The 9,911-nt window shown below is 48.8% G+C and overlaps 2 protein-coding genes across 20 annotated transcripts in view, besides 4 other annotated features; both read left to right on the top strand.

Moving 5' to 3' along the window:
• PEDS1-UBE2V1 (PEDS1-UBE2V1 readthrough) overlaps positions 1 to 9,911 on the top strand; it is a 72,600-nt gene that overhangs the window by 36,985 nt on the left and 25,704 nt on the right. The window lies entirely within an intron of this gene.
• Positions 662 to 818: a silencer, noted in NCBI's record as "fragment chr20:48732458-48732614 (GRCh37/hg19 assembly coordinates)". NCBI's record gives its function as "represses an EF-1alpha promoter that drives an FKBP-Casp9 reporter gene in an ReSE screen in K562 erythroleukemia cells {active_cell/tissue: K562}" and the evidence as "EXISTENCE:reporter gene assay evidence [ECO:0000049][PMID:32094911]".
• UBE2V1 (ubiquitin conjugating enzyme E2 V1) overlaps positions 782 to 9,911 on the top strand; it is a 34,834-nt gene continuing 25,704 nt past the window's right edge. For 10 of the 19 annotated variants that reach the window (NR_047554.2, NM_001257395.2, NM_001257396.2 and 7 more), the window contains exon 1: positions 3,589 to 3,632. Coding sequence is in view for 9 of the 19 variants with exons in the window: in NM_001257395.2 (NP_001244324.1) it covers positions 3,611 to 3,632 (22 nt within the window). In the remaining 10 variants the exon portion in view is untranslated. Of the gene's footprint in view, positions 1,255 to 3,588; positions 3,633 to 5,176; positions 5,451 to 7,627; positions 7,767 to 9,911 lie in introns of those variants that run through there. The other 9 variants (NM_001257394.2, NM_021988.6, NM_001282575.3 and 6 more) reach the window with 5 other exon arrangements.
• Positions 2,670 to 3,237: an enhancer, noted in NCBI's record as "H3K27ac hESC enhancer chr20:48730039-48730606 (GRCh37/hg19 assembly coordinates)". NCBI's record gives its function as "activates a minimal SCP1, AML or CMV promoter by ChIP-STARR-seq in naive and primed H9 embryonic stem cells {active_cell/tissue: H9 hESC(naive and primed)}" and the evidence as "EXISTENCE:reporter gene assay evidence [ECO:0000049][PMID:30033119]".
• Positions 3,242 to 3,351: an enhancer, noted in NCBI's record as "active region_18083". NCBI's record gives its function as "activates an Ori minimal core promoter by ATAC-STARR-seq in GM12878 lymphoblastoid cells {active_cell/tissue: GM12878}" and the evidence as "EXISTENCE:reporter gene assay evidence [ECO:0000049][PMID:35858748]".
• Positions 3,522 to 4,061: a silencer, noted in NCBI's record as "silent region_13013". NCBI's record gives its function as "represses an Ori minimal core promoter by ATAC-STARR-seq in GM12878 lymphoblastoid cells {active_cell/tissue: GM12878}" and the evidence as "EXISTENCE:reporter gene assay evidence [ECO:0000049][PMID:35858748]".

The raw sequence follows: 9,911 nt of genomic DNA, 5'->3' as shown, positions 1-9,911 counted from the left end.
GGCCTCCCAAAGTGTTGGGATTACAGGTGTGAACCAGGGCGCCCAACCTTCTCTTCAGCTTTTATGAGGGGAGGGAAAGTTTCCAAACACCCACCTTGCCATGTGGGGCCATGGCGACTGGAATGGCGGTAAACATGCCCAATACACCTTCTCTCTGGGTTCCCTGCTACCAATATTGCTGCTGCCCAATTGGGTGTCCTCGCCCTGTCTCCTCATGGCAGCACGATGCACTTTGTAAAAAGGCAAACCTGCCCACATTTAGCTCAAAACCTCCCAGGCTCCACCTCCCTCATCACGGGAGAGCCAGCGGGTGACACAGGGTAAAGAGAACTGGATTCCAAAACTGATTTTACTCCTTCCTTGTTGTGTGACCTTGGAAAAGCCATCTAACTCCTCTAAGTCTCAGTTTTCTCATCTCACAAATGGAAATGGTAACAGCTACTTTGCAAGGTTCATTGAGGATTAGGTAATAATAGCAGCTAATACTTATATTGCACTTAGTGCCAAGCCCTCTTCTAAATTCTCTAGTTCTATTAACCATTTTAATCTTCCCCAAAATCCGATAAAACAAGACTCTTATCCCATCAGCTGAGTTTATCAGCTCAAGCGCAGAGCGGTGATCAGGCGCAGGCGCCGGAAGGAATCCTGCTCTGGGGACCGGCTGTGACGTCCAGGAATGGGGCAGAAACTCTTCGAGGGAGCGTGTGCGCGGGACGTACTACAACTCCCATCAGGCACTGCGCCAACGCTAGACTACAACAACCAGCATGCCTCGGGCTGTCCCGCCTAACCTCTTCCTGCGATGAGCTCGGCACGGGAATTATTATTGTCAATTTTACTTGCAAGAAGTTTCCTACAAGAGCCAAGGAATCCATGCGAGTAAACATTTACGGGCACCATAGATAAAAGGCTTGTGTTTTAATCCTCATCCTCTCCACCTGTTAGCTCTGAGTCTCAGTTTTCTCATCTCTAAAAATGGGGATATTCACAGGAGTTGCTGCATCGAGTTGTGAGGATTAAAAGTTGGATGTAACGGCTTGGTAATTATGAGCTCTTCTAGTGTCCCTTCCTCTTCCCTGTGCCCAAGGGGTTTTAGGAAAGCATTTTATCTCCACAGCAATCCTATGAGGTTGATACTACTATCCTCATAGAAGGGGAAACTGATGCCAGGAGAGGTTCAAGCGTCTTACCTGAAGTCACAAAGCAAACTGAGTGATGAAGGAAGACTTGAACCTAGAAAATTTCACTGCAAAGGTGAGTCCACCTTAGGAACCCAAATGCTTCCACTTGCTACTGATGCTTTACAGTGACCCCAAGTCCAGGGCAAGTATTTTCTGTGCTCCCCAAAGCAAACTTGTATCACGTGATACACGAAAAGTCAAGTTGCTTCACCTGTAGCCAGTGCTGGCACTTTGAGAGCTAATTATAGCTGAATTTGATGTGGTTGGAGGAATCGAGGAAGGCTTCCCTGAGGGGATGGTGCTGGATCTGAGAACTGAAGAGTGGGAACAGCACAGGCAAAGCCCCTGAAGTGGGAGAGGGCATGTGTTCCAGGGGGCTTGCAAAGGGCCAGTGTCGCCGCAGAGGTACAGAAAGTCTCAGAGGCGCAGGCTGTGCCAAGGCTATGGTGAGGCAAGTGGGGTACCTAGGGTGCAGATTTTTTTTTTTTTTTTGAGACTGAATCTCTCTCTGTTGCCCAGGCTGGAATGCAATGGTGCAATCTCAGCTCACTGCAACCTCTGCCTCCCGGGTTCGCTCGATTTTCCTGCCTCAGCCTCCCGAGTAGCTGGGATTACAGGTGTGTGCTACCACGCCCCGCTAATTTTTGTATTTTTAGTAGAGACGAGGTTTCACCATGTTGACCAGGCTGGTCTGGAACTCCTGACCTCAGGTGATCTGCCCACCTCGGCCTCCCAAAGTGCTGGGATTACAGGTGTGAGCCACCATGCCCTGCCCTAGGGTGCAGATTTTAAGGAGTCACTCACCTGCAGCGCTGTGCAAGTGCGGAGTCAGGACCTGAGTGAAAGCCCCGTTAAATCTGACCACCCCATCCTCGTCCCTGCCCTGGGTGCAGAGCCTGGTGCACAGGGTGTCCAGGCATCCTGCTTTGCCCTGGAGAGCCCTGGTTTCCACTTGTCCTGGTGAGATTATAATAAGTCCCCTTTTAATCTGATGTGTGTCCTCATTAGGTGATAATTCTATGGTCGCTCAACTTGTAAAGTTTGTATTTTATCCAGAGGGAATGGGGAGCCACTGAAGGCTTTAGCTGGAGGGTGTTTTGAGCAGATGTTGGTCTATATGGAGAATGGGCCATAGGGGAGAGAATGGAAGCTGCTGGGGTCTTCCAAGTGGGAGATAAAGGCAGCTTGCCCTGAGTGGAGAAGTGAACGGAGTGGAGAGATGCAGAGTAGGCACTGCTATCAGACAAAGGTGATGAATTGGATGTGCTGGGTGAGGGCTTCCAGCTTCCTTGTCCCTCTATGTTTAGAGTCCTGGTCCTTCTGCCAGTATTTTGCTCTGTGACCTTAAGCCAGTCCCTTCACCTCTCTCAGCCTCAGTGTCTACATCCATATAAGGGCTTCTCAGACAATTTATAATAAAGGAGGAGTACCTTCTTGGGTTTATTTATTTGCAAAAATATTTCCCAAGGGCCTTTGCACAAGCTGTTCCCTCTACCTCCTCATTGTTACGGTCTCTGCTGAAATATGACCACCTTAGGAGGCCCTTCCTGACCATCCTCTGCTGCTCTTGTCTTGGTTTATCTCTACCCTATCAGAATTATAGTTTCCTGTTTATTTACTTGCTGTCTACGACTAGAATGTAAGTCCCTGAAAGCAGGGATTTGCTTCTTCAGAGATGTCTATCCATCCCCAGCGCCTAGCACAGTGTCTGGTACATAGTAGGTGCTTAATGTTTGTTTGTTTGGTTGAATGAATGAATGAACGAATGAATGAATGAATGAATGAATGAATTGGGTAGATGGTTAGCAAATGCTTTCCCTGCCACCTTAATGCCCCTAAATCATTTAGCTGCACCCACTCCAAGCCTTCTCTGGCCGGGGAGCATCAATCCTAGGAGCCAGATCATCTGACCTGGAGGGTGATGATTCAAAAAATTTGAACCTGGAGGTTAAAATTCTGCCTGTCTCTGCCACTTAACAGCTGAGTTTAGATAAATCGCTTGATCTCTCTCGGCTGCATTTTTCACATTAATTCTGACCTTGCGGAGATGTGGTGAGGATCTAGATAGGAACTAGACAGGAAAAAGCCCCAAGCGAATTCGGCGCTTTTGTTTGAAGCTATATTTTCTTTTTCTTTCACAATCGCGCCTTCCCAAGCCTAGTCACCCCTGCCCTTCTCACTAAGCACATCACAACCTCCCTCGCACCCGATGTGTGGGGACTTGCAGGTTGCTGGGCCCTCGAGCACGCAGATATTTCCTTTCTCTAAAAGGGAAGGAAAAGAGCCTTCCAGGCCACGGGTCGTGCAGGTCTCCGGGGCGGGCGTCAGCGGCGGCGTATGTGCGTGCGCGCGCGCCTGCGCATCAGGGCCGGGGGACGGGTAAGGGGGGGGTGAAGAAGGGGCCGGCCTTCAAGCAAGAGCGACGCAAGATGGCAGCCACCACGGGCTCGGGTGAGCGGGGGCGCCGGGCCCGGCCGGCCGAGGGGGCATGGGCTTGGGCCGGGGGCCGGGGACCCTCAAAGCCTCCTGCAGCGGAGCCAGGGTCCCCGCGCCGCCTCTGTCTGCTGGGCTCCGCGGCAGCCACCGGCGCGGCCTGACCGGGGGAGGAGGAGCAGGCGGTGGCCGGAAGCACGGGCGGGGGGCTGAGGGGCCTGTGGGCGGCGCGGCGAGGCCCTGAGGCTCCCCCGGGAGGCGTGAGGGCCCTCTGTGCTGTCTGGGGGAGCCGGAGTGGGCGAGGAGCGAGCTCCGAGGCACTCCTGAGGATACCGGGGCTGGCGACTCTTAAGGGGCGATCTAGAGGTCCCCTAGAGGAGGCGCCCCACAGCGGATGGAAGTCCCATACTGGGTGCCAGGGGTGCGGCTGAGAGGGGCCTTGGGATGTCTGGAGGGGACATCAGAGAAGCCCTTCAGGCTGGATGGAAGAAACGGGATCCTGAGGGGGTGACTTGAGAGGATCCCCTATCGGTTGAGGGAACGGCTCCGGCGTTAGTTTTAGAGATGGGGTTAGCTGAGGAAATAGCTATGTTGACTAGAAAGGAGGAGCCTTGGAGCAGCTGCTTTTGGGGAGAATGAAGGGGGTCTCCGCATGATAAGTGAGAGGAGGGAAAAGGATTCAGATGCCAGAGGGACCTAATAGCGGTGATAGTGAAATGACCCCATCATTACCAGTCTCCTGTTCGAGGATACAGATGGATTGCTTCAAGTTAGGTTTCAGGGGACAAGGTCCGAGTGGGGCAGTTGGTGGAAGCCTCTGATATTGGATGAGGGAGAACAGATGAATTGGGAGCCCCGAGGATGTCTCTTTGGGAGTGGGGATTCAACTGAGGGAAGCCCCTGAAATGAGGGAGTGGAAAAGGTCGGGTTCCGGAGATGTTTCCTGTAAAGGAGAAAAGTCTCCTCTTTTTGAATTGAGTGAGGGAAGCATATCCTAGAAGTGTCTCTTCTGTGGAGACGCTCACTCTCATCGACTCCTTTAATAATTGGGACAGATATGTGGGTTCAGCTCAGAAGTTCCCCACTGGCTGATGGGAGTAGGGAGGTGAATAGATGAAATGGGAACTCTTGGGTGAGGCTGCACCCTCAGGTGCCTGGCAGTGAAGTTGGCCAAGGAGGTTCTCTCAGATGGGGTGAAAATGGGTTACCTCTCTGATGGAGGAAGCAAACAGGGCCACAGTGTTCCCCACTGTGGGGCTGCAGGGACACCAGCCTGAGTACAGCAATCATTGGCATATTTAAGGCCACAGCAGCGGCAGTGTTGGGAAGGAATTGGTGATCCATGGGAAATAGGGTGAGGGGAATTCTTTATAAATGTTGCTACTCTGCGGTCTCAAGGAGCCATACTTGCCTGATGGTTGGGGTGGGAATAAAAGAAATTGAATGTGGGGGATCTGACTGAAGTGACCCACCACAAGCTGCTGCCTTTTGAGTTTAAAACAGTGGGGTCTTCTTGCAGAATAGCGGAGACCATGAATCCTTTTACTCGATTTTGGTTTCAGCTGGAACAGTGCTGAGTCAATTCATTTACCATGACGCTGCCCCAGGCACTCCCAGAAGAGAGATTCTGAGTCAGGCCAGACTGCTGGGTAAAACTTCTCACCAGAATAACACTCCTACCGGGTCGTAATAAACGAAGGGGCCCAGTGTGCTGGTGGTAGCCAGCAATAAGGTGCTGTTGCAGCTCAGCCCTGCTTGCAGTCACTCGGTTGGCTACCTACAATCTGGGTTAACAGCTGCCCGGTTCTAACTTCTCCAGACCCTGACAGTTAAAAAGTGAGTGCTTCATAAATGGCTATGGTGATCAGATAAAATGTCAGCTGCTGTCTAGTGGAATACAAGAGCACTTGGCATGGTTTAGATAACATAGGACAGGCTTTGAGGTGCCCTAAAATGGACTTCCCAAAATTCTTTTGTCTGTTTATTCAACAGATATTTACTGAGGGCCTATTATGTCCCATCGTGGATAGCAAACAAAATGGACATAGTCTGTATCCTTCGGGAGCTTCCATTCAAGTCAGGGAGAGAAGGCTGTTAAGGAGTAAATAAGACAATTTCAGATAGCAGTAAGTGCTATGGAGGAAATTGTGTGATGTGATAGTGTCTGGAGAGGTGGTCAGGAAAGTGACATTTCAGCTGAGTCAAATAATGGAAAGAGCTAACCCTACAGTGTCACAGGCAGGAGAGAGAGTGGGCTGTTAGTGCAAAGGCCCTGTGGTGGGACTCTGCTTGGCATGTTGAAATAACAGGATAAAAGGCCTTCATGTGCAAGCAAGGCTTGTTAAGGAGATGAGTTGGAGAGACATGGCTTTGGATTTGAGATGGTATGAGGGGAAGCCATCAAACAAGTGTCTGGTATGAAGTAGGCATTCAGTAAATATTTGTTGAATGAATGAATAAGAGTCTTAAAAAGAGGAGTATGATAAGATCTGACCTTCGTCCCTAGGCAGTGAAAAGAGTGCAGGGTGCTAAGAGTAAAGCAGACCTTACTTGGGGTAAACTAAAATGAGTGTACAGGCCTCTCTGCTTTCTAACCCTGAGAAGTCTTCCAGGTGTGGTCAGGGCCCAGAGGCCTTCCTTAGTCAGGTTTAGAGTGAGGCTCTTGATTAATCTGTGCCTCCGGTTGCCAGGAAACAGCTGTGAAGCCTTTGAGTTCCTGTAAGGGCTGAACTTAGTTTTTTATGGTCACTGCTTTCAGCATTTGGCTACACCACCTTCCCACTTCCTTTGGTTCTGCAATGTGTGATATCTACATATGTCTTAGAGGGTGGAACTGTGAAAAGCCCACCACAGATCCTCAGAATCCCCATGTTATGACGGGTGACTTCCTCCTGCCTTGGCCAGGATTGCAGCACATCAAATAGTGGCCCTTGGTTGCCAGGCCCTTCCTCTCACTCAGCAGCCCACGAGCTTCCCTGACATTTAATCAGAAAATGAGTGCCAGAGGGGTAAGCCCTGGTGGGGCATGATTTTAAATTTGCATACATCGGAGTGGCCTCATATGCACATTCAGCTTATAAAAACTTAACCATGTGGGCAGCAGAGATTAGTCTTCCCTTCCATTCAAGAGTCTTCCCCAGAGAGAGCTGGAAATGGATGAAAACTCACAGTCCCTTAGTTCTTCTCAGTTCCTGTATGTCTCACTGTGTGAGCATCTTATGCCAATTGTAATTAAGTGCCTTTTGTACAACATGGGCCCTACATTCAAAGAACAGCTTCATATTGTGCTCAGCCAAAGAAATAGCAGCCTGCTCCAGTGATGGAGGGGAAACTGGCTTTGTTGGGCTAGTGCAAGCTTTTTTTTTTTTTTTTTTTTTGAGACGGAGTTTCGCCCTGTCACCTGGCTGGAGTGCAGTGGCGTGATCTTGGCTCACTGTAACCTCTGCTTCCCAGGTTCAAGCGATTCTCCTGCCTCAGCCTCCTGAGTAGCTGGGATCACAGGCACGCGCCACCACGCCTGGCTAATTTTTGTATTTTTAGTAGAGACAGGGTTTCACCATGTTGGTCAGTCTGGTCTCAAACTCCTGACCTCATGATCCGCCCGTCTCAGCCTCCCAAAGTCCTGGGATTACAGGCGTAAGTCACCGTGCCGGGCTGCAAGCTATTATTTTCTTAAGGGATTACCAAGGTTAATTTTGATGATCATGATTTTCCCCCTTCATGTTAACTGAAAACCACTCTATTTCCCCCACCACATTCTCTTTTCTCTTCATATCTCTATCCCTCCCACCTCCCCACAAATTGTAGCTCTGCAGTAATTTGGTAAAAGTAGAATACAAAATATGAAGTCAGGAATCCTCTGCTTAATTTTGAAGGGGCACAGTGAAGTTCAGAGCAGCACATTTGGCAAAGTAAATGTTTGAATACTATTACTGTTGTATTGTGGATAGTGCTTTAGAGTGTCCCATAGACTTCGACTTACCTGTGATGTTGTCTCATCTAACTCTCCACAGCCTGGTCACCAGCCAGGGGCAGTATCCACCCACATTACTGAGGGAGGAGCCAAAAGCCAAGGGAGACTGGTGATGCTCGGACTAGAGCCCAGGCATTTTTAACTCCTGTTCCCTCACCAGCCTGCAGGAAATGGAAAAGGCATGGATTTAGGGATATGTTCTTCCTAAGTCTTGGAGTGTTTAATCTTGGAGAGAGAAAGGGCTTTAGTAAGAAGTGTCTACTGCTACCCGTTTCAGGAACCCTTTTTATAGCATCTCTGGCCACTGTTTGTCCTCTTCTGGGTTATGTGCTGTCCAAGGAGAGTGAGGTCCTTTTTTCAGGAAGCTCTTGCTTATATTTTATACTGAATGACTCACACCTCTTGGGCTTGGAGCCCCATCATGGCAGGTACAAAGTAGTACCTCATCCTTATTTACATGCAAGCCATCAGACTTCTTTTTAAGTTGCACTCTTGGGTTTACTAAGTGCTAGACACTGTATTAACTACATTATCTCACTTGTCACAACAGCCCATTGAGGCAGGTATCGATTGTGAAGGTGAGGAAACAGGCCAGGAGAGGAGTGACTAGCCTGAGGTGCAGAGCCTGGGTGCTCTGGGATGGTGTTGCTTCAGGACACGTGCTCTTGGCCGGATGATCGTTCTTCCAGCCCCCATTTCTTATTCTCTGAGGTAGGCCTCGCAAGCATCTTCAGCCATTGGCATGTCTGTTATTTCTGCCTTGGCTGATTAGCTTATTCATGGGTAGATGGCAGTGACCTCTCAAGTAGTAGTCTTTCCTCATCTTCACATCCACCCTGTCACAAGTCCAGTAGGTGTAACCCCAAACTAAATGCCAAATCCTCCTTTCTGTCTCCACTCTTGTCATCCTAATCTAACCAGAACCGTCTTTCTCTTGCCTGGAAGATGGAAAAAGCCTCTTGCTTTCAGTCTTGCCCTTTCCATTTTCTATACAGGAGACAGAATGATCTTTCACAGACGTAAAATAGAAACTGCCACTCCCCTTCAGCAAGCCCTTCCCACTGCTCTTATTACAGAATAACCCATCCCTTTTCCATGGCCCACAAGGCCCTGCCGCCTTGACTTCATGTGGTGTCACACACCTCTGATCTTGCTCTGTCCCCAGATCTTCATGGGCCTGACTGCTGTTCTTCAGGTCGCAGCTACCCAGAAAGGCCGTCCCTGAGCACTCCATTCAATAGTTTTTTAGTCATTGTCACAGCTTCTTGTTTTGTTCTGTTTCTCTAAAGCACTTAACCTTACCTGAAGTGTTGTTTCGTTGCATATTTTCTATGCCTTTTCACTAGGGCAAGATTCTATCTCAACTTCTGTTGTGTCCCTAGCACCAGCACAGTTCTGGACAAAATAGTAGGTACTCAGTAAATATTTGTGAATGTTGCAGTGAGTTAATTCAGAATCTCTTTGATGTAGCCAAATGGATACATTTGACAATTTGTGGAGAAACAATGTATCCGATAGGGCAGAAGCAAAAGTGGCTATTCAGCCTTTCAAAAAACTGAAACTCTTATCCTTATTTGGTGGTATTTATAGAGGTACTTGATCGTAGAATTAACCATCCTCCCCTTCTCCAGTTGTCCTGACTCATTTCCCACATCTTGTTTCCCCCTTTGTCAAAGAAAATCTGATGCTTGGTCTTGGTCACTGACCCTAGCAGCAGAACACAGGGTCTTGCATTCTGTCACTAGCTGTTGTCACGTGGCTGGACTGTAAAGAATGACAGCTTGCTACTAATTCTTTCCCTAGAATTCCCCTAGAGCAATGGATCTCAAACTAGTATACCTCAGAGTCCTGGAGGGCTTGTCAGATTCTTAGGCCCAACCTTGGAGTTTCAGATTCAGGAATTCTGGGCTGAAGACCTGAGAATGTACATTTCTAGCGAGTTTGCGATGAGGTCTGGGGACTAACTTGGAGAACCATTGCTCTAGAGAAGGAGAAGAACAGATCTCCTGGGCAGGCTAACTAGACAGCCAGACTACACTTGGGCGGTTGCTCAGAAATAAAAGTTACTTGCTTATGGCTCTATGTCCAGTTTTCAGGGACGTTGAATCCCAGTGCATCACCTTCCATACCTCCTCATTTTCTGAAGTGGGAGCAGCATCAGATTCCTAGCTCAGTTCACTGTCTTCCCTGAATGGGCAACCAAACCATTTTTAACTAGCAGCTTTCTTTTCAGGAGAAACCTCTGAGGTTCTACCTTTTTTTTGTTTTTTTTTTTTTGTTGTTGTTGTTGTTGTTGTTGTTGTTGTTTTTGGTTTTGAAACAGA

This window comes from Homo sapiens, chromosome 20, assembly GCF_000001405.40.
Source record: "Homo sapiens chromosome 20, GRCh38.p14 Primary Assembly".
Classification (NCBI taxonomy): Eukaryota; Metazoa; Chordata; class Mammalia; order Primates; family Hominidae; genus Homo; species Homo sapiens.
The sequence above is the reverse complement of the archived record's forward strand: the minus strand, read 5'-3'. Positions and strand labels throughout refer to the sequence as shown.